This window comes from Homo sapiens, chromosome 5, assembly GCF_000001405.40.
Source record: "Homo sapiens chromosome 5, GRCh38.p14 Primary Assembly".
Classification (NCBI taxonomy): Eukaryota; Metazoa; Chordata; class Mammalia; order Primates; family Hominidae; genus Homo; species Homo sapiens.
The window spans coordinates 119133003-119157569 of NC_000005.10; the positions used below are offsets into that span (position 1 = coordinate 119133003).

Genomic DNA, 24567 nt, shown 5'->3' on the forward strand with positions numbered 1-24567 from the left:
TACAGAGCTTCCATGCTCTCCTTAGGCATGAGATCTCCATGTGTTCAGCTATCCAGAAGCTCGGTAATTCTTAATTTATAGTAATAACCTGTTTGTATTTACTTGGTTCATGAACTCTTTTGCTTATAGAAACTGATGATGGTGTTGATGATCTGAAAATAAATCCCGAAAAGAAGGAATTAGGCTGTGATAAAATGGTACCAAACTCAAGTTTTACATCATTATCGTCAGCTGCCATTGATCATCAGATTGAAGTACTTCTGTCTGAATGGAGTAAAAATGCAGATATGCTATTTAGTATTCATCCCATGGATGGTTCTTTGCTAGTTTGGCATGTGGATTGGCTGGATGAATACCAGCCTGGTATGTTTCGTCAAGTACAGGTACTACTGTTATTTCTGGAGAGCTACTTCCTTGTTTATGTGGGTACTATTTTCTAATACCTCTTTATATAATTTTATATGTTCTAACACTTGCTTTCTTGATTCTAGGTGTCCTTTGTTTCCAGAATTCCAGTAGCTTTCCCCACAGGTGATGCAAACTCTCTCTGTAAAAGCATAATGATGTATGCCTGTACCAAGAATGTTGACTTGGCTATTCAGCAGGGGAAACAAAAACCTTCTGGCCTCACCCGTTCCACATCAATGCTTATTTCTTCTGGTCACAATAAATCATCTAATAGTTTAAAATTAAGTATTTTTACGCCTAATGTTATGATGATATCAAAACATGCTGATGGTTCTCTGAATCAGTGGCTGGTCAGTTTTGCCGAGGAATCTGCTTTTTCTACTGTTCTCAGTATTTCCCACAAATCCAGATATTGTGGTCATCGTTTTCATCTTAATGATTTAGCTTGCCACTCAGTATTACCATTATTGCTGACAACATCACACCATAATGCATTAAGGACACCAGATGTTGATAACCCAGAGCAACCTTTTGATGCTCTAAATATTGAAGAATGCTCTTTGACACAACAAAATAAAAGCACTGTTGACGTGGCATTTCAGGATCCCAGTGCAGTTTACAGTGAGCTTATTCTGTGGAGGGTTGACCCAGTTGGGCCATTGTCTTTTTCTGGAGGAGTTTCTGAGCTTGCCCGGATTAATTCTCTTCATGTTTCTGCCTTTTCCAATGTGGCATGGCTGCCCACTCTTATACCCAGTTATTGTCTGGGTAAGTATTCTGGTTTTTATTACAGTAATTTAGATTTGCTGACATTATCATCAAAGGGTGAAATTTTAATATTTGTAAATACTTTCTAGGTGCATACTGCAACTCTCCTAGTGCATGCTTTGTAGCCAGTGATGGACAATATCTGAGATTATATGAAGCAGTTATTGATGCTAAGAAACTTTTATCTGAGCTTTCTAACCCTGAAATTTCTGTAAGTAATGTCTTTTAAAACAGCTTAAGTATATAATATTATGTTTTCAGATAGTTTATATTTATTGGGCATGTTCTACAATTGTGACCTATAATTTGTAATAAGCATTTGTATCTTTGTTTTATTTTTTCACATTTGTACTCTTGTAATGATTTAAAGCTCCTTTAAAAGGAAACCATTTCTTTCACTCTTTGAAAGAAAGTAGAGTCTCATCTCCTGTAATATGTTTCTGTAACACTTCTTTACTCATAGATAAATGAGGACTACTGACAGTATAATGTAGAAGTTATATCGGCCCCCCTGCAATTATTTTATAGGCAGGAGGAGCTGGAACAACAGGAATAGAATTTTAATCTTAAACATGAAAAGAAAGAGCCCTTAGCTTGGTTACAGTTCAGACAAGAGTTCTTTCAGTATTGTTGTAAGGCTTTTGCCTTATGACAGGCCACATTTGTTCTCATACCCACCTAATAACAACCTTCTAACTGCATTGTCTTGGGACATCCAACAAGCAAGCGTTTCCACTTTTCTGGTTTTGGCGATTTTTCTTTTGGTATCCCCAGAGGCAGCCTTCGGCTGTACCAAGCTTTCTATTTAGGAGATTCAAGCCATCTCCCTGACTACCAATTAATGTATTTGTTAATGCTCGGCTTACAGAGTTGCATAAATGTCAGTGATCTGTTCCAATCCTGTTTTTTTCTGTAAGTTAATTTTAATGCATAATTTTGCAGAACACAAGGTTTTCCAAAGCATGTATATAGTATTACAGTAGAAATGTATATATTTTGGGGGGGGTCTTCTATTTATCAGGCATTTTTAAGTAATGGGAATTTAGATGTGAAGAAAACAGGTAAAAATTTGTATCATAGAGCTTATATTCGGGTGAAGGGAGATAGGAAGAAAACAGATAAAAATATATTAATTAAAAATACTATGGATAGAAACAGTGTTGCAGAAGAATTAGGAATTGCCAAGTAAGTTGCTGGTCAGGGAAAATTTCACAGAAAAAGTACTATTTGATTAAAGATCTGAAGGAGATGTGGGAACTAGATACGTAGATATTTATTAAAGAGAATGTGATTTGGGAAAACGGACAGCCAGTTCAGAGATCCCAAGGCCGGAGCATGTTTGGTATGTGATAAGGTTTGGCTCTGTGTCCCACCCAAATCTCATCTTGAATTATACTTCCCACGTGTTGAGGGAGGGACCTGGTGGGAGGTGATTGGATCATGGGGGCAGTTCTCCCATCCTGTTCTCATGATAGTGAGGGAGTTCTCACAAGATCTGATGATCTTAAAAGTGGCAGTTTCCCCTGTGCACGTGCCGTCTCCTGACACCTGTGAAGAAGGTGCTTGCTTCTCCTTTGCCTTCTGCCATGATTGTAAGTCCTGAGGCCTCCTGAGCCATGTAGAATTATGAATCAATTAAACTTATTTATAAATTACCCAGTCTCAGGTATTTCTTCATAGAGTGTAAAAACAGCCTACTACAGATAATTGGTACCAGGAGTGGGGCACTGCTATAAGGATAACCCAAAATGTGGAAGCGGTGTTGGAACTGGGTAACAGGCAGAGGTTGGAATAGTTTGGAGGGCTCAGAAGAAGACAGGAAGATGTGGGAAAGTTTGGAACTTCCTAGAGACTTGTTGAATGGTTTTGACCAAAATGCTGATAGTGATACGGACAATGAAGTCCCGGCTGAGGTAGTCTCTGATGGAGATGACGAACTTACTGGGATCTGGAGCAAAGATCACTCATGTTAATGCTTTAGCAAAGAGACTGGTTGCATTTTGGCCCTGCTCTAGAGATCTGTGGAACTTTGAACTTGAGAGATGATTTAGGTTATCTGGCAGAAGAAATTTCTAAGCAGCAAAGCATTCAAGAGGTCACCTGGCTTATTCTGAATGCATTCAGTTATATGTGTTTACAAAGAGATGGTTTGAAATTGAAATTTATGTTAACTTACGTTTAAAAGGGAAGCAGAGCATAAAGGTTTAGAAAATATGCAGCCTGACCATGTGGTAGAAAAGAAAAACTCATTCCTGGAGAAGAATTCAAGGGCTACAGAAATTTGCATAAGTAACCAGGAGCTGAATGTTAATAGCCAAGGCAATGGGGAAAATGTCTCTGGGACATGTCAAAGATCTTCATGGCAGCCCCTCCCATCAGAGGTCCAGAGGCCTAAGCGGGAAAATGGTTTCATGGGCCAGGCCCAGGGCCCAGCTGCTCTGTGCAGCCTTGGGATTCAGTGCCCTGCCTCCCAGCTGCTCTAGCTCCAGCCATGGCTAAAAGGGGCCGTGGTACAGCTGCGGCTGTTGCTTCAGAGAGTGCAAGCCCCAAGCCTTGGCAGCTGCCACATGGTATTGGGCCTGTGGGTATGCAGAAGATGAGAGTTGAGGCTTGGCAGCAACCACCTAGATTTCAGAGGATGTATGGAAACACCTGGATGTTCAGGCAGAGGTCTGCGGCAGGGGCGAAGCCCTCATGGAAAACTTCTACTAGGGCAATGCAGAGGGAGAAAGTGGAGTTGGAGCGTCCCACAGAGTCCCCACTGGGGCCTCATGGAACTGGGAGAAGAGGACCACCATCATCCTCCAGACCCCAAAAAGGTAGATCCACTGACAGTTTGCACCATGTGCCTGGAAAAGCCATAAGCACTCAACACTAGCCTGTGAAAGCAGCCACAGGCACTGTACCCTGCAGAGCCACAGGGGCAGAGTTTCCCAAGGCCGTGGGAACCCACACCTGTGTCAATGTGCCCTGGATGCAAGACATGTAGTCAAAGGAGATTTTGGAGCTTAAGATTTAATGACTGCCTGGCCAGGTTTCAGACTTGCATGGGGCTTATGGCCCCTTTGTTTTGGCCAGTTTCTTCTATTTGGAACAGAACATTTACCCAATGCCTGTGCTCGCATTGTATCTTGGAAGTAACCAACTTGCTTTTGATTTTACAGGCTCATAGGCAGAAGGGAGTTCCCTTGTCTCAGATGATACTTTGGACTTGGACTTTTGGGTTAATGCTGTAAGGAGTTAAGACTTTGGGGAACTATTGGGAAGGCATGATTGGTTTTGAAATGTGAAAAGGGGATTTGGGAGGGGCTTGGGTGGATTGATATGGTTTATTGCTGTGTGCTCACCCAAATCTCATTTCGAATTATAATTGCCACATATCAAGGGAGGCACCTGGTGGGAGGTGATAGGAACATGGTGGCCATTTCCCTTATGCTGTTTGCATTATAGTGAGCAAGTTCTCACAAGATCTGATGGTTTAAAAAGTGTCAGTTTCCCCTGCATGCTTTCTTTCCTGCCACCTTGTGAAGAAGGTGCTTGCTTCTCCTTCATCTTCCGCCATGATTGTAAGTTTCCTGAGGGCTCCCCTGCCATGCAGAACTGTGAGTCTGTTAAAATTACCCAGTCTCAGGTATTTATTTATAGCAGTATGAAAATGGACTAATACAGTATGTAAAGGAACAGCAAAAAGGCCACTGTGGCTGGAGCAGAGCATGTGAGGTGGAAAATAGTCAGGGATAAAGTCGGAAAGTTAGCCTGGCCAGGTCATATGAAGCCTGATAGGCCATTGTGGTAACTTCAGGTTTTACTCTGAATAACATGGAAACTATAGAAGAGGTATGAAATGATTTAGGTTTTAAATGATTCCTCTGGTGGCTATATAGATTAGACGTGGGATGCGGAAGTAGATCCAGAGAGACCAATTTAGGAACCAATTACAGTAGTCCAGGAGAGGGAAAAAAGGAGCTTAGAATATAGCAAGTGGTAATGGCAGAGATGATAAAAATGGCCAAATTCAAGATGTTGTTTAGAACATTGAATAGCTATGAATGGACTGGATGCGGTATGTGTGAGAAAAAAAGAGGACTCCCAAGGTTTGTGATTGAATATTAGGAAGAACAGAATTGCTGTGAATTGAGATGTGGAAGAATGTAGAAGTAGCAGGTTTTGAGGGGCAGGGAAATTCAAGAGTCTGGCTTTGGTCATATTAATTTTGAGATGCCTGTTTGACATCCAAAAGACATAGTAGGTTAGTATCTGGAGTTCAGAGAGAGGTCTGGCCTGAAAATATACAGTAGTTGTCAGCATATAAATTTGAAGTTGTGGAAGTGAATGAGATTGCCAAGGGTGAGACTATAGTTAGAAAACAGAAGTGTTAAGCCAGGAACGATGGCTCATGCCTGTAGTCCCAGCACTTTTGGAGGCCGTGGCAGGTGGATCACTTGAGGTCAGAAGTTTGAGACCAGCTTGGCCAACATGGTGAAACCCCATCTATTAAAAATATAAAAATTAGCCAGATGTGGTGGCAGGAACCTGTAGTCTCAGCTACCTGGGAGGCTGAGGCAGGAGAATCACTTGAAACTGGGAGGCAGAGGTTGCAGTGAGCCAAGATGACACGACTGCACTCCAGCCTTGGGTGACAGAGAGAGACACCATCTTAAGAAGTAATAGATTGAATGTGTGCTCACTTCAGCAGCACATAAACTGAAATTGGAATAATACTGAGAAGATGAGCATGGCTCCTGTGCAAGGATGACATGCAAATTCATGAAGTGTTCCATATTTCTCCAGAAGAGACTGGGGACCTATATTCAACATCCTTAAAGAAAAAAAAGTCTTCAACCAAGAATTTCATATCTAGTCAAACTAAGCTTCCGAAGTGAAGAAGAAATAAGATCCTTTTTAGATAAACCAATGTTGAGGGAGTTTGCCTTACAAGAGGTCTTGAAGGGAGTAGTAAATATTGAATGGAAAGATCACTACCACCTAATATAAAAACACACTTAAATATACACAGACCAGTAACACTATAAAGCAACCACACAAGCCAGCATAGTAACCAGCTAACAACATAATAACACAATCAGATCCACACATGTCAGTGCTAACCTTGAATGTAAACAGGCTTAATGCCCCACGTAAAAGGTATAGAGTGGCACACTGGATTTAAAAAAACAATGGTATGTGGTCTTCAAGAGACCCCTCTCACATGTAATGACACCCATAGGCTCAAAATAAAGGGATGGAGAAAAATCTACCAAGTAAATGGAAATCAGAAAGAAGCCGGGTTGCCATCCTGATTTCAGACAAAGCAGACTCTGAACCAACAAAGATTAGAAAAAGACAAAGAAGGGCATTACACAATGGTAAAGGGTTCAATTCAACAAGAAGACCTAACTATGGTAAATATATATGCAACCAACACAGGAGCACCCAGATTCATAAAACAACTTCTTAGAAACCTACAAAGAGACATAGACTCCCACACAATAATAGTGGGAGCCTTCAACACTTCAATGTCAGTATTAGACAGCTCATCGAGGCAGAAGAGTAACAGAGATATTCCGGACCTGAACTCAACATTGGACCAAATGTATCTGACAGACTGCTGCAGAACTCTCCACCCAAAACAACAGAATATATATTCCTCTCATTGCCACGTCACATACTCTAAATTGGACCACATAATTGGACATAAAACAATCCTCAGCAAATGCAGAAGAACCAAAATCATACCAAACACACTGTTGGACCACAGTGCAATAAAAATAGAAGTCAGGATTTAAAAAATAGCTTAAACCAGTCAATTACATGGATATTAAAAACATGCTCCTGAATGACTTTTGGGTAAATAGTGAAATTAAGACAGAAACCAAGAAGTTCTCTGAAAGTAATGGGAATAAAGATATAACATGCCAGAATCTCTGGGACACAACTAAGGCAGTGTTAAGATGGAAATTTATAGTACTAAATGCCCACATCAAAAAGTCAGAAAGATCTCAAACTAATAACCTAACATCACTACTGAAAGAACTAGAGAAGGAAAAACAAATCAACCCCAAAGCTAGCAGAAGATAAGCAATAATCAAAATCAGAGATGAACTGAAGGAAATCGAAACACAAAATACCATTCAAAAGATCAGCAATTCCAGGAAATGGCTGTTTGAAAAGATTAATAAGATAAGTACGTTGCTAACTAAGCCAATAGAAAATCCAAATAAACCCAATTAGAAATTACCAAGGGAATGTTAACCACTGACTCTACAGAAATAAAAACAATAATCAGAAACTACTACGAACACCTCTGTGCACACAGACTACAAAACCTACAAGGGATGGATAAATTCCTGGACATATACCCCCTCCTAAGACTGAACCAGGAAGAAATTGATTCCCTAAACAGACTAATACGAGCTCCGAAATTGAGTCAGTAATAAATAGCCTACCAACCGAAAAACCCAGGATCTGAGGGATTCATAGCTGAATTACACCAGATGCACAAAGAAGAGCTGGTACCATTCCTACTGAAACTATTCCAAAAAATTGAGGAGGAGGGACTCCTCCCCAACTAATTTTTTGAGGCCAGCATTATCCTGATACCAAAACCTGGCAGACACACACACACAAAAAGAAAACTTTAGCCCAATATCCTCTATGAATATCAATGCAAAAATCCTTGACAAAATACTGGCAAGCCAAATCCAGCAGCACATTAAAAAGCTAGTTCACAGTGATCAAGTAGGCTTAATTCCCGGGATGCAAGTTTTGTTCAACATATGAAAATTAAATGTGATTTATCACATAAGGAGAACTGAAGACAAAAAACACATAATTTTTTTGATAGATGCAGAAAAGGTTTTTGATAAAATTCAACATTCCTTCATGTTAAAAACTCTCAATAAACTAGGTGTTGAAGGAACATACCTCAGAATAATAAGAGCTATCTTTGACAGACTCTCAGCCAACATCATACTGAATGGGCAAAAGCTGGAAGCATTCCCCCTGAAAACTGACACAAGGAAAGGATGCCCTGTCTTGCCACTCCTATTCAGCATATTATTGGAAGTGCTGGCCACAGCAATCAGGAAAGAGGAATAAAAGGCATCTAAATAGGAAGAGAGGAAGTAAAACTATCACTGTTTGTACATGACATGTTTCTATATCTAGATAACCCTATGTCTTGGCCCAAAAGCTCCTAGATCTGATAAACAGCTTCAGTAAAGTTTCAGGATACAAAAATTAATGTAGAAGAAATGACTAGCATTCCTATACACCAACAACAGCTAATCTGAGAACCAATTCAGGAAGACAGTCCCATTCCCAACTGCCACAAAAAGAATAAAATACCTAGGAATACAGCTATCCAGGGGGGTGGAAGATCTCTACAATGAGAATTACAAAACATTGCTCAGATAAATCAGAGAAGACACAAACACATGGGAAAAACATCCTATGTTGATGGATAGAAAGAATCAATATCATTAAAATGACCATACTGCCCAAAGTATGGCCCAAAAATTTACAGATTCAATGCTATTCCTATCAAACTACCAACAACATTGTTCACAGAACTAGAGAAACCTATTTTAAAAGTCATATGGAACCAAAATAAGAGGCTGTGTAGCCAAGGCAATCGTAAAAAAAAGAACAGAGCTTTGAGGTATCATGTTACCCGACTTCAAACTATACTGCAGGGATACAGTAGCCAAAACAGCATAGTAGTGGTACAAAAACAGGCACATTGACCAATGGAACACAATAGAGAATCCAGATATAAGACCACACACCTACAACTGTCTGATCTTTGACAAACCTGACAAAAACAAGCAATGGGGAAAGGATTCCATTAATAAATGATGCTGGCAGAATTGGCTAGCCATATGTAGAAAATTGAAACTGGATCCCTTCCTTACATCATATACAGAAATCAACTCAAAATGGATTAAAGACTTAAATGTAAAACCTAAAACTCTAAAAACCCTGGAAGACAATCTAGGCGATACCATTCTGGACATAGGAATGGGCAGTGATTTCATGACAAAGACATCAAAAGCAATCATAACAGAGTAAATAGACAACCTACAGAATAGGAGAAAATATTTGCAAACTATGCATCTGAGAAAGGTCTGAATATCCAACATCTGTAAGGAACTTAAATTTACAAGAGAAAAACAGCTCCATCAAAAAGTGAGTAAAGGACATGAGCACTTTTCAAAAGAAGACATACGTGTGGCAACAAACATGATAAAAAGCTCAATCACTGATCATTAGAGAAATGCAGATAAAAACCGCAATGTGGCACCATCTCACACCAGTCAGAATGGCTATTATTAAAAAGTAAAAAAAAAAAAAAAAAAAAAGATGCTGATGAGGTTGCAGTGAAAAGGGAACACTTACACAGTGTTGATGGGAGTGTAAATTAATTCAACCGTTGTGGAAAGCAGTACTGTGATTCCTCAAAGAGCTAAAAACAAAACTGCCTTTTGACCCAGCAATCCCATTACTGGCTATGTACCTAGAGGAGTATAAATCATTCTGTGGTAAGGGCACATGCAGGCAAATGTTCATTGCAGCATTATTCACAATAGCAAAGACATAGAATCAACCCAAATGCCCATGAGTGACAGATTGGATTAAGAAAATGTGGTACATACACATGATGGAATACTGTGCAGCCATAAAAAAGAATGAAATGATGTAATTTGCAGGAACATGGGTGGAGCTGGCATTCATAAAGCAACTTCTTTATGGAGGCCATTCTTTAAGGAGGCCATTATCCTTAGCAAACTAACAGGAATAGAAAACCAGATACTGCATGTTCTCACTTACAAGTGGGAGCTAAATAATGAGAACTCATGAACCCAAAGAATGGAAAAACAGACACTGGGGACTTCTTCATGTTGGAAGTTGGGAGGAGGGAGAGGACCAGAAAAAATAACTCTCGGGTACTGGGCTTAGTACCTGGATGATGAAATAATCTGTACAACAAAGCCCTGTGACATGAGTTTAGCACACGTACTCCCAAACCTACAATGAAAGTTAAAAAAAATTAAAGATTGAATGCTGGAATGCTCGGTTAAAAGTAGGGTGGAAATACAAGGGTGAATGTGGTGTATAATGGAAGGCAAAAGAAAAAAAATATTTCAAGGAGGAAGAAGGAATGATTACCAAGATCAGATACTGCTGATAAAGGAAGTCTGATAAAGATTTGAAAATAGACCACTGAATTTAGCAGTGTGACCTTGACTAAAGCAGTCAGGACATGAATGGCTCAAGAGATCAGCATATTTGAATAGTATGTAATCTTGTTTCTTTAGCTCTATCCTTCCTATCTCAAAATTAATGTTTAAAAAGCACTAATTATTAGAACATTTCTAGGAGATTGAAATCAATTTTTCACATTTATGGATGTAATTTTTTTCCTTAACAGTTATCAAGCATTACTTTTATTTTTCTCTGTACCAACTGAGCTGTAATGCTTTTTCATTCGTTTGTTAATTCCTATAAAGACTAAAGACCTAGAATTTTTATAGTTGAAAGGGACTATATTTAGGCCCACTTGAATTTTATTGTTATTTATCTGTTATGCTTGAAATTTTGTTATTTACTCTTATTTGCATATGAATTGTTTAGTAAATTATAAATTTTTTTAAAAAAAACAGAAATATGTTGGTGAAGTCTTTAACATCGTCAGTCAACAATCAACAGCCAGGCCAGGATGCATTATTGCATTAGATCCCATTACCAAACTTGTAAGTATTAATTTTGGGGGGGAGGTATATTAAAAAAAAGTTTATGAAAGCATTTTGCATAAAATCTATATATTAATGTAATTTGAAAATTTGCTATATATTTACAGGTAGATTCAGTAATTAACTCATCACATAATAGATAACATATTATTGTATATTTTACTTCCTAGACTTCAAACTAGAAAACAAATTATCCTCATTACTATATTCACAGCCAAATAAATTTTCAAACTTTGACTCAAACATATTAGAAATATTATCATATTACCATTAGATTTAATAAAGTGGTGTTAGGTTCCTCATCCATGGTTATTGAAAATCACTGAAAAGAAAACTAGGTTCCAATTTGTGGCTAAATAAAAAACATTGGTGGATATTATTTCTTACTTATAAAGACTCATTGTAATGAAAGCAAATCATCTTGACCTAAATTTTTATATTCATCTGTTTAATCTAATGGAGGTGCCATACGCTTACGTTCTGCTGAACTTTTGACTTCTTATTCTGCCTTTAAATATCTCATTATGAAGTATTATTTTTCTGGCTATTTAGCATTAGGTAAATAACACATAGGTCAACTTACGTTGATATTTATTTATATTCAGCATGGCAGAAAAACCCAACTGCTTCATGTTTTTGAAGAAGACTTCATTTTGAATAACCTTGAGAAGAAAAGCCTTGGCAAAGACAGCATTTTATCTAATGCAGGTAAGGAAGAATTATTTATGGAATGAGAAATACTATGTACAGTATGTTAGGCAGTTAATAAAGATGAATTGGTAAAATGCTTTACATTGTCTATTTGAAGTAAAAATTGGGGTAGGTTTGTTTATTAAATATTTATCATAAATATGAGTATCTTTTTATTCTTAACCAGGTAATAAATACGAACAAAATTAAAGGGGCATCTTGGTTGTATGTTTTTTAAACTGCATAATAGAAATGCTTTATTATTAACATATGAGAGCTTTTTGCATGGATGGGGTCCTACCCATCCATTTGGATATTATGGACCTCCTGCCTTTTGAAAATTTATAATTTAAAGAAGTAGCTTAAAACTTCAAGCTAGAAGGTCCTTAATTTAAAAACTAATTGTCTTAATTAATGCTTTTATAATAAAAGTTTTTAAAATGTTAAACTCCTCTCATCAACACTTTACATGAAGGCACACTGAGTAAAATAAAGCTACAGTCTCTTGGTCATCACTTGCGATTACAGAGCCAAACCAAACTCAAAAATGGCATTCTTGAATATCACAATCTTATAAATCAATTATACAGTATGTGCCTGTTGCACAAAGAAGTTATCAAGATTCATATGTTAAATATCTTCTCCATTTGTTCAGACTTTTTTCTTCTCTTTTACATCATGTCTTTCTGCCACCTTTTCCATTTTTCTTTTATGAGAAGTACTCCTTAGAGTTCTGCACTTTTATGTTGACATCTAATTTCTTACCATTGCTTTTAGTCTTCTATCAGTTTTCTCTGAGTTAATGAGCTGTGCAAATACACTTTATGTGTTTTTTAAAACTCTGAACATGTTGGAAGTATGCTAAAAATGGGGATTAAAGATATCAGGCGTAAGAGATAAGATTATTTATTGTATAAACAAAACTATCCTTTTCATATTAAAATATTAATGAACATGTTAATATTGTTAACAATTTAAGTCTCTTTAAAACTTTTAAAAGAAGTTACTCTCCTTTGCATAATAAGGTTGAGTTTTTCTGTGTTCTTCTTGTATTCTAGCATTTGCTTTTTTCGGATTCTTCAATTTTTAATGTATTTTAATTCTCTTTAAGGCTAAGATTTTTCTTAAAATATTCAGGAAATTTTTACTTTTACCCAAAAACTATTATGTTCATTATTAGAGTTTCCTAGAAAATACCTAAGGAGTTAATGGTTTCATATCTTTTGCTCTATTATGAAGAAGAAAAATGTTTTACAAATATTTTCATTATTGGAGCATTTTTTGTTGTTAGTGAAATTATCAAAACTAGGATTGATTTCTATTCTGTTTACTTTTGTTATAATCTTTATCCTTTTCTCTTAATTTCTGTATTTTGGATGCCTAACTTAGAATACATTACCAAAGTTACCTTTTCATTTAGTCTCTCAATACAAGATGATTTAAAACATTTATGGTTACCTTTTTTAATTTTTTTGCTATGCAAATTTATAAAAGGGCAAAGTCTTTGTGCTCTAATAATACCTGCTTTCTCATGTTTTACATGTTCTACGATTTATTTTGTTTTTATAATGTAATTTTCGTTTACCTAATTGTGCACATAGTGAATAATAGATTATAATGAAGAAAACTTGGATTAAAATCTATTGTTAAAAAGGTTTTTCAGGCAATAATAAATCATTGATTTTTCTGATGTATTTTAAAAAGATATGTTTATTTTGAGCAACTCGTGTGCTGTTTATGCAATTTGGGAGAAGACAAATTTTCTTGAATGATATGTTTTATAATGAAAACTTATGGTTTGGCCATTGGATAAATATCATGAAGTCATCCATTATAGAACTTATTCATTTGAAAAATGTTTGGCACCACCATTTCATCATGATATGTTGAGTTGAAGTACATATTACATAGTTCCTATCTGTTTAGAAATTTCCTACTTCTTATGGTTTAATCTTTGTGAACAATTTGATGATGATGACTGTAAACCTATCAATTCAAACATGAAATAGCATACATATTATTGTAAAAATTTTAAGTTAATACAAATTCATGTGGTAAAGGATTTGAATATATTTTATAATACCACTTGTGTTTGAAGCCTTAGGTAAAAGTTTTTAATCTTCTTTTTTTAAAGTCCAATTATTTTAACTTGGCATGTTTAGCAAGTTGTCTCTTTTACACATAGTAACAGTGAAAAATATCATTAATACCAACAGGCAGCTCACCTAATGGATTTTCTGAGAAGTTCTACCTAATTGTAATAGAATGCACTCAAGACAACCGTTCACTGTTACACATGTGGAATTTACATCTAAAGTCAATTCCTGTCTCATTAGGTGAGTCTTTTGTGTGTGTGTTTGTGCAACTTTAATAGGTGTAAGTTAACAAATTACACAAAATTAGATAATTTGGGACATATTTCTTAAAGCCATTCTCATTAAATGGTGATAACTGTAGATTATTCAATTAATTCAAAAAGCTTTTCTTATTTTCTTTCTGTGAAGAATCATATTAATATGTTTACTATTTTATCTTTTACAAGGCAGTTTTGGATTGTAAAATGTAACAATCGTAATATTTATAGGGTTCCCCTGCCTCAGTTTTTGGTTCTTTTCTTATGTTTTGTAGATGAAAAAGTAGATACAAAATTATCCGAAGCGGTTTGGCAGCCAGAAGAACATTATTCTTCTTCTCCAGAGAAGATCCTATCTCCTTTTTCACAAAAGTATCAGGCTTGCAGAGCAAATCTCCAGAGTACCAGCAGGTTGACTCTGTTTTCAGAAATGGTTTATAGCCAAGAATTGCATTTACCAGAAGGAGTTGAGATAATAAGTATTAAGCCATCAGCAGGTTTGTAAATTTTATGAAAAGAGACTAATTTTGTAACACATGAGTATTTACCAGGTATTTAAAAATAGGTGCTGCAACTATCTCTTAAATCCACACAGAACTAGAAATGGAAATAATATATTCAAGTACCCTAAATTGAAGACTTATAGTTCTCATTATGTTTTCAGATTACTCTGACATTTATCAGCCAGTTCTAGTCTTAAATATTGATTTCTAAAACAAATTTTCTTTGTCTTTTTGGGAAGACAAAGGGACAGTTTCTGGAGCGGAGATGGTAACTAAGTTGTACTTTATTTGCAGACTTTGATGGTATTGGCAATAGCTGCCTGGAGCCATGATTCTGATTGTGTGGTTTCTGCTATATATTTATTATCCTTATTCCAGAGCAGTGGTTTTCAAAGTGTCCCCAGGCCAGCAGCATCAGCGTCCTGGAAACTTGTTAGAAATTGGCCACTCCATTTCTTGGGCCACCCAGGGTTACTGAATCTCAGACTCTGGGATGGGGCCCAGTGGCCTGGACTTACAAACCTTTAAAGTGATTCTTATGCTTGCAAAAGGTCAAGAACCACTGTTCTGGAGTATCAAGAATACTAATCAAAAATACAAATTAAGGCTTATGTTTTAGGAAACTAATAGTGCATGATTACTTTAAGTCTAAGCAAATGTTAAGTTGTAGTTAGGAATCTTCTCAGCATTTGTTATGGCAAATATACCTCAATCATGAAGGGCCCTGTAAAGTGACCATTCAGTACTTAAGTAAACATAGGCCATTCACATTTATATTGAAAAATGTGAAAGAGAAGGAGCCAGTGAGTGTTGACAAATTTAAAAAAATGCATTGATACCTTTAAAATTAGATTTATAATGTATAAAACTAGCAAAGAGCTGTGAAACAAATTCGGGATTAACTAGAATTAAATTCTGCCTATGCCTAAGTTGTTTGATTTAGGCCCAAGATGTTTAACCTTCAAGAATTGAAGTAAATTATCTCAGAGTTCCCTTTCAACTCTAGGTTTTGGTGATACTTTCTTTTTATATACCTTTCTGATGTCATTAAAAGCCTCTTTCTTACTATTCTTGCTGCCCCTTTTTAACTTAAATAAATATAGGCTGTCTATTATGCAGTTTAAAAAACATACAGCCAAGATGCCCCTTTGATTTTGTTCATATTTATAGTAGTTAATACAAAAGACTAAAATCGTAAGTACATAAAAACAGAAGTATTTAACCAAATTTGACATTTTGTTAACGGATTATTTTTATTTTAGGACATCTGAGTTCATCTTCTATATATCCTGCATGCAGTGCTCCTTATTTATTGGCAACTTCATGTTCAGATGAGAAAGTAAGATTCTGGAGATGCAGAGTAACAGATGGAGAATCTGCCACGTCAAAGAATGGAAAAATTGATCTTGCATACATTTGGGAAGAATGGCCATTACTTATTGAAGATGGACTTCAGAGCAATAGTAGTATAACTGTACCTGGTAGGCCTGTAGAAGTTAGCTGTGCACATACAAATCGTTTAGCAGTAGCTTATAAGCAGCCTGCATCTAATAGTAGATCTTCCCAGGACTTTGTGATGCATGTAAGTATTTTTGAATGTGAGTCAACAGGAGGTTCATGTTGGGTCCTTGAGCAGACAATTCATTTAGATGAGTTAAGCACAGTATTGGATTCTGGCATTAGTGTTGATAGCAATTTAGTGGCCTATAATAAACAAGACATGTATTTATCTAGTAAAGAGAATATCACATCAAACACAAAGCATTTAGTTCACTTAGATTGGATGTCTAGAGAAGACGGTTCTCATATCCTGACTGTAGGAATTGGATCAAAACTTTTTATGTATGGACCCCTGGCTGGCAAGGTACAAGACCAAACTGGTAAGGAAACCCTGGCATTTCCTCTCTGGGAGAGTACCAAAGTTGTGCCCCTTTCTAAATTTGTACTATTACGAAGTGTGGACCTAGTTTCTTCTGTAGATGGCTCCCCACCTTTTCCTGTTTCTTTATCGTGGGTCCGGGATGGCATCCTTGTGGTAGGAATGGACTGTGAAATGCATGTGTATTGCCAATGGCAACCATCTTCTAAACAAGAACCTGTTATAACAGATTCGTACAGTGGGAGCACTCCATCTATAACAAGTTTAATAAAACAGAGTAACTCCAGTTCTGGGTTACATCCTCCAAAGAAAACTCTGACTCGATCCATGACCAGTCTTGCACAGAAAATCTGTGGAAAGAAAACTGCATTCGATCCTTCAGTGGATATGGAAGATTCAGGTCTTTTTGAAGCAGCTCATGTACTTTCCCCGACTCTACCTCAGTATCATCCCTTGCAGCTTTTGGAACTCATGGATCTTGGTAAAGTTCGGAGAGCCAAGGCCATCTTGTCCCATCTTGTTAAGTGCATTGCTGGGGAAGTTGTGGCTCTGAATGAAGCTGAATCTAATCATGAACGCCGCCTTAGGTCTCTCACAATCAGTGCTAGTGGAAGCACTACCAGAGACCCCCAGGCATTCAACAAGGCTGAAAATACAGATTACACAGAAATAGATTCTGTTCCTCCACTTCCTTTATATGCCTTACTTGCAGCAGATGATGATAGCTGTTACTCATCTTTGGAGAAATCTAGTAATGAGAGTACGTTAAGTAAATCAAACCAATTATCTAAAGAAAGTTATGATGAGCTTTTTCAGACTCAACTTCTAATGACTGATACTCATATGTTAGAGACAGATGAAGAAAATACAAAGCCTAGAGTTATTGACCTTTCACAGTACAGTCCGACTTACTTTGGACCTGAGCATGCTCAGGTTCTTTCTGGCCACTTACTTCATTCTAGTTTACCAGGACTCAGCCGGATGGAGCAGATGTCTTTGATGGCCTTAGCAGATACAATTGCAACTACAAGCACTGATATTGGAGAAAGCCGAGACAGAAGCCAAGGTAAAACTAAACTCCGTACTGATAACATTTTTACTTACTTTCACAGAAAATAATTTTAAATAATTTTTATTAAAATGATGCCATTGGCTAGGCACAGGGGCTTATGCCTGTAAATTCAGCTCTTTGGGAGGCTGAGGCAGGAGGATCACTTGAACCTAGGAGTTTAAGACCAGTCTGGGCAACATAGTTGAGACCCCCATCTCTATGAAAACAAAAAAAAATTAGCCAGATATGGTGCCTCATGCCTATAGTCCTAGCTACTCAGGAGGCTGAGGTGGGATGATGCTTGAGCCCAGGAGGTTGAGCTGGCAGTGAACTGATTGTGCCACTGCACTACAGCCTGGACAATAGAGCAAGACCCTGTCTCTTAAAAAAAAAAATACCATGAAGGTTTTTTTTGGAAACATCTTTGCTACCTTCACAACAGTTTTAACTTTTTTTCCCCCCGAGACTATCATAAACAGCAAACTCTTAATATGCACTATTTATCCTGTAAATCATAGTACTATGAGCGAGTGCACAAAGACTCGTTATGCTGTTCATTTTTACTAATTTTCTGCTCAATAGTATAAAAGATCCAACTGAATCTTTCTGAGTTTAGCAAAATTTAACAGATTCTTATTAAACAATTATTTTAAGTACCTAAAAATGTGGTTTCTGGGTTTTTTCCCCTCATTTTGTAATAATCCACTATTAACAATTATAATTTGGTTTTTAAAACATTGAGTTTTTTTTAAATTAGCATTAATGTATGCTCCTACCTAGAAAAGCATAATGTAATTAGGTCTTTTCCTCACCCAGAGAGCATTTAAAAAAAAAATACTGCCAAGTTATGAACAGTTTGCCATAAAATCTCAAGTAAGTTCTGAAATGAACAAATTGAGCCTTGTAGACCATATATACGTCAGTATCCCTTTGAATGAAACTTGAAAGGAAAATATAGGGTAAATTTAATATAATAACAAAATTTAAATTTAAGAAAAATTAAGTTGGTTATGAATCTTGACACTTTTAGAGATATTACTAGTAGATACTATTTTTGATGTGAATATGTTATAGGTGTTTTATGTTTTTAGTTTTTGCTTCAAGGAAAAAATATCAGGCCCTCCCACCATAGAACTGTTTCTCCCAGTGTTAACAGCAGATTATTGGGGTGGATGTATGATTCGAACAAACTGTATTGGTTAAAGATAATACTGTACATGTGCCACAGAAAAGGTTAAACTGTTCAAAAATCAGTCACATTTTAATTTAAATAAGATTTCAGTCAGAAGAGGTCAGTTTATAAAGAGTATCAGATTCTCTTTATTCTCTTTATTATTTTTCCAATTGTTTATACTATTTTTTCTGTAATGTAAAATTCTGTAGAAAAAGATAAATGTTAGAAAATATTTTACACTGATAACTTTTTTCTTGGTCAGGTTAAGAATGTTATATGCCTATATTGGGTGTTCTTTTGCTTACAATTTTTTTTTTAATACATTGCTTCCCCTTTCTCCCATTGCAGGTGGAGAAACTCTTGATGAATGTGGGTTAAAATTTCTTTTGGCTGTTCGACTCCATACCTTTCTTACAACTTCCCTTCCAGCCTATCGAGCTCAACTCCTTCACCAAGGTGATTTTGATAGTAATCTATTAAAGGGAAATAAAGCGAGTAGAAAATGAGAGACTTGGGAGTTTTTAAACTTGTTTTTACCCAAAAATGATAATGATGACATATTTAACATATTTTAAGTTTCCTTTATTTGTTAAAATGTTTATTTTGTCATAATCTTTGCTTAAAACATTGGAATTTTTAATGGTAGGCAAAAGGAGTTAATGAAGAAACATACTGGAGATGTTCTGTGTTATGTTTTTAAATGCATGATATGTTCAAGGCAAATTAGTATTGTTTCATTTTCTTTAATTTCTTCTTTAGATTGTCTTTTCTCTCCTTTTTTTTGACATTTATCTAAATTCAGTTTTTCCACCAAACATTGAATAACATTTGTGTTATAATACATTCTCAAATTTTAAATATTTCACAGAGTACAGAATATTGAAAGTGTAAATTTACCCACACTTAAAACTACTGATAAAATATGTATTTCAGATATTAGTTTAGTATATTTCATGTATTCTATATTTAGTGCTGTATTTCAGATACTGTTAGTTCTCTTACTTTGAACTATCTTAGACTTTGAACTGTCTTAGCATAACGTAATAGATTCTTATTAAACGATTATTGTAGGTACCAGAAAATAACATTGTCTTAGAGAGTTCAAAGTAAGAGAAATCTCACTTAAGTTCACTTAAACAAAACAGCATGTTTTTTGGCTCATCTCCCGGGAAGTTCAAGAAATAGAGCTGACTTTCAGCATTATTGGAACTATAGGTTTAAAAAGTGTTATTGGGACTTTGCAGTTTAGCCTTTTAGCCTCTGCTCCTTGGTCTCAGTCTCTTGCTCGTACCTTATGTCTCTGTCTCTTTGTTTCTCTCACTATTTTCTTTTTCTCATTTTGCATATAGCTTTGAAAAAAGTAAAGTTGAAAATTCTAAATCAAATTCTTTTTAGTTTTTTTTTTTTCTTTTTTGAGATAGAGTCTTGCTCTGTCACCCAGGCTGGAGTACAGTGGTGTGATTTCCGCACACTGCAACCTCCATTTCCTGGGTTCAACTGATTCTCCTGCCTCAGCCTCTCGAATACCTGGGACTACAGGCGCACACCACCACGCCTGGCTAATTTTTGTATTTTTAATAGAGATGGGGTTTCACCATATTGGCCAGGCTAGTCTTGAACTCCTGACCTCAAGCAATCCACCTGCCTCGGCCTCCCAAAGTGCTGGGCATTATGGGCGTGAGCCATCTTGCCAGGCCAAATTCTCTTTAAAATTTTTAGATTGTAATTTAGCACATTAAAATTGTATGTATTTATAGGGTACAAAGTAATGTTCTGATATATGTATACAAAGTGGAATGATTAAGTCAAACTAAACATATCCATCACCTCAGATATGTAAAATATTTGTGGTAAGAATATTTGAAATGTACTCTCTTAGCAATATTGAAATATACAATACACTATTATTAAAGGTAGCTACCATGCTGTGCAGTAGATATCAAAAATGTATTCCTCCTAACTGAAACTTTTTACCCTTTGACCAATGTCTCCCTTCTCATCCTGTCCCCAGCCTTGGGCAAATACCGTTTATTCTCTGTTTCTTTGATTTCAATTGTATTCGATTCCACAGATAAGTGAGATCATGCAATATTTGTCTATGACTGGCTTATTTCACTTACTGTAATGTTCTCCAGGTTCATCCATGTTGTTGCAAATGACAAGATTTCGTTTTTTAAGGCTGACTGGTACTCCAGTGTATATACAGGCATACTCCTTTTTATTGTGTTCTGCTAGGTTGCATTTTGCAAATACAGCAGTTTTTACAAATTGAAGCTTTGTGGCAACCGTTTGTTGAGCAAGTCTTTCAGCACCGTTTTTCCAACAGCATGTGTTCACTTCATGTCTCTGTGTCTCATTTTGGTAATTCTCACAATATTTCAAACTTTTTCTGTCATCTGTGATCAGTGATCTTTGTTACTATTATAATGGTTTTGGAGTGCCATGAACTGCGCCTATGTAGGACAATGAATTTAATCAATAAATGTTGTGTGTACTGTGGCTACAACACTGATCAGCCATTCCCCTGTATTTCTCCCTCTGCTCAGACCTCCCTATTCACTGAGACATAACAATATAGAAATTAGGACAGTTTAACAACCCTACAATGTCTTCTAAGTGTTCAAGTGAAAGGAAGAGCTGCATATCTCTCCCTTTAAATCAAAAGCTAGAAAGGACTAAGCTTAGTAAGGAAGGCATGTTGAAAGCCGAGATAGGCTGAAAGCTAAGCCTCTTGTGCCAAACAGTTTACCAAATTGTAAATGCAAAGGACAAGGTCCAAAGGAAACTAAACGTTCTCCATTGAACACATAAATGATAAGAAAGCAAGGTAGCCTTATTGCTTATGTGGAGAAAGTTTGAGTGGTCTAGATGGATCGAACTAGCCACAAGATTCTCTTATGCCAAAGCCTAATCCAGAACAAGGCTGTAACTCGTCTTAATTTCATGAAAGCTGAGAGAAGTGAGGAAGCTGCACAATTAAAGTTTGAAGCTAGCAGAGGTTGGTCCATGAGGTTTAAGGAAAGGAGCTTTCTCCGTAAACTACAAGTACAAGGTGAAGCTAGGTCTTCTGGATAACATGCTGAAGCTTCTACGTCATTCAGCACTTGCTTCAGCATGTTTTCCAGAGGATCTAGCTAAGATAATGGATGAAGGTGGCTACACAAAAGGACAGATTTTTAAAGTACATGGAACAGCCTTCTGTTGGAAGAAGATGCCATCTAGGACTTTCGTAGTTAGAGAGCAGTCAGTGCCTGGCTTCAAAGAACAGACTGACTCTTGTTAGGGGCTAATGCAGCTGGTAACTAAGTTGAAGCCAATGCCCATTTACCATTCTGAAAATCCTAGAGTGTTTAAGAATTATGTGAAACCTATTCTGCCTGCGCTCTACACATGGAATAGCAAAGCCCAATGGCAGCACCTCTGTTTATAGCATAATTTACTGAATATTTGCAGCCTACTATTGAGACCTTCTGTTGAGAAGAAAGATTTCCTTTCGAAATATTGCTGTTATTGACAGTGACCTGTTCACGCAAGAGCTCTGATGCAGGTGTACAAGGAGATTAATATAGTTTTTATGCCTGCTAACACAACATTCATTTTGCAGTCCATGAATCAAAGAATGCCTCCAACTTTTAAGTCTTATCATTTAAGAAATACATTTCATAAGGCTATAGCTGCTATAGATAATTATTCCTCTGATGGATCTGGACAAAGTAAATTGAAAACCACTGGAAAGGCTTCACCATTCTAGATGCCATTGGGGACATGTGTAATTCATGGGAGGAGGTCAAAATATCAACATTAACAAGAGTTTGGAAGAAGTTGATTCCAGCCTTCACAGATGACTTTGAGAGGTTCAAGACTTCAGTAGAGGAAGTAATTGCAGATACGGTAGAAATAGCAGGGGAACTAGAATTAAAAGTAGAACCTGAATATGTGACTGAATTGCTGCAATCTCAGGGTAAAACTTCAGCAGAGCCAGGCACGATGGCTCATCCCTGTAATCTCAACACTTTGGGATATTGAGGTGGGAGGATCGCTTAAGGCCAGGAGTTTAGGATCAGCCTGGGCAACATAGACGCCATCTCTGAAAAAAATTTAGGTAGGTTTAGTGTTACGTGCCTGTAGTCCTAGCTATTCAGGGAGCTGAATAGGAATATCACTTGAGTCCAGGAGGTCAAGACTGCAACGAGCTATGATCACACCACTGCACTCCAGCCTGGGCAACAGGAGGAGACCCTGTCTCAAAAAAAAAAAAAAAAAACAAAACTTCAGCAGATGAGGAGTTGCTTCTTAAAGGATGAGCAATGAATGTGGTTTCTTAAGGTGGAATCTATTCCTGGTGAAGATGCAGTGAACATGGTTGAAATGACAACAAAGGATTTAGAATAGTCTGTAAACTTAGTTGATAGAGCATTGGCAGGGTTTGAGAGGACTGACTCCAATTTTGAAAGAAGTTCTAAATTCTATCAAATAGAATTACATGGTATAGAGAAATCTTACATAAAAGGAAGAGTCCATCTATGTGGCACACTTCATTGTTGCCTTATTTTAAGAAATTGCTATAGCCATCCCAGCCTTCAGTAACCTCTACCCTGATCAGTCAGCAGCCGGTAACATCAAGGCAAGATTCTCCATCAGCAAAAATTATGACTTGCTTAAGGCTCAGGTGATTGTTATGTTTTAGCAATGATGTATTTTTTAATTAAGGTATGTACACTCATTTTAGACATAACGCTATTGCACAGTTAATAGACCACAGTATGATGTAACCATAGCTTGTATATGCACTGGGAAACAAAAAATTGTGTTACTCATTTTATTGCAATATTTGCTTTATTGTGGTGGTCTGAAATCGAACCCATGGTATCTCCAAGGTCTGCCTATATATACGATATTTTCTTTATTAATTTATTGATGGATACTTAGGTTGAATTGATAACTAAACTATTGTGAAGAAAACTTCACTTAACATTGGAGTGCAGCTATCTCTTCAACATACTGATTTCACATCCTTTGACTATATACACATAAGTGGGATTGGTGGATCATGTGGTAATTTTGTTTTTAAATTTTTTCTTTTTTTTTTTAGTTAAAATTTCTTTTCTTTTCTTCTCTTTTAATAAAACATTGTCCCAGAATATTTTTAGATATTTGAGGAACCTTCATACCCTCTTCCATAATGGCTGTACTAATTTATGTTCCCATTAGCAGTGTACCAGGCTCCCCTTTTCGCCACTTCTTTATGAAAACTGTTTGTTTTTTTCTCTTTCTGATAATAGACATTCTAGCAGGTGTGAGTTGTTATCTCATTATGGCTTTAATTTGCATTTTCCTGATGATTATAGATATCAAGCGCTTTTTTCATTTATCTGTTGGACATTCATATGTCTTCATTTGAGAAATATCTGTTCAGTTCATTTATCCCCTCTGGTTTTTTTTTTTTTCCCCCAAGAGTTGAGGGTCTTACTCTGTTGCCCAGGCTGGAGTCAAACTCCTGGCCTCAAGCCATCCTCCTGCCTCAGCCTCTCAAATAGCTGGGTCTACAGGTGTGCACCACTTGTGCCTGGCATGCCTATTTTTTAATTGAGTTGTTTTCTTGCTATTGGGTTACTTGAGTTCTTGATATATTTTGGATATTAACTCCTTATCAGATATACAGATTGCAGATATTATTTCCCAATCCACGGCTTTTCTCTTCACTCTGCTAATTGTATTCTTTGCTATGCAGACATTTTCAGTTTGATGTCATCCCATTTGTTCATTTTTGCTTTTGTTGCCCGTCCCTTTGGTGTGATATCCAAAAAAATCATTGCCCAGACTGATGACATGTAGTTTTCCCTCTGTGTTTTCCTCTAGTAGTTTTACAATGCAGGTCTTATGCTTAAGTATTTAATCCATTTTGACCTATTTTTGTATATGGTGTAAGATAATGGTCCAATTTCATTCTTCTGCATGTGGTTATCTAGTTTTCCCAGCACCATTTTTT

The 24567-nt window shown here is 36.6% G+C and overlaps 1 protein-coding gene, 1 non-coding gene and 1 pseudogene across 27 annotated transcripts in view; all 3 read left to right on the forward strand.

The window, feature by feature from the left end:
• The window catches only part of DMXL1 (Dmx like 1), a 178101-nt gene that overhangs the window by 61976 nt on the left and 91558 nt on the right, over positions 1-24567 (forward strand). For 24 of the 26 annotated variants that reach the window (NR_170869.1, NR_170867.1, NR_170868.1 and 21 more), the window contains 9 exons: positions 130-383; positions 492-1176; positions 1266-1387; positions 10839-10928; positions 11534-11636; positions 13835-13954; positions 14247-14468; positions 15737-17419; positions 18927-19034. Coding sequence is in view for 23 of the 26 variants with exons in the window: in XM_011543213.3 (XP_011541515.1) it covers positions 130-383; positions 492-1176; positions 1266-1387; positions 10839-10928; positions 11534-11636; positions 13835-13954; positions 14247-14468; positions 15737-17419; positions 18927-19034 (3387 nt within the window). In the remaining 3 variants the exon portion in view is untranslated. The remainder of the gene's footprint in view (positions 1-129; positions 384-491; positions 1177-1265; positions 1388-10838; positions 10929-11533; positions 11637-13834; positions 13955-14246; positions 14469-15736; positions 17420-18926; positions 19035-24567) is intronic. The other 2 variants (NM_001387937.1, NM_001387938.1) reach the window with 2 other exon arrangements.
• Positions 5857-5963, forward strand: RNU6-701P (RNA, U6 small nuclear 701, pseudogene; annotated as a pseudogene).
• On the forward strand, positions 21635-21714 carry MIR5706 (microRNA 5706). Its single transcript, NR_049892.1, has one exon. It is a non-coding gene; the product is annotated as a microRNA 5706 (primary transcript).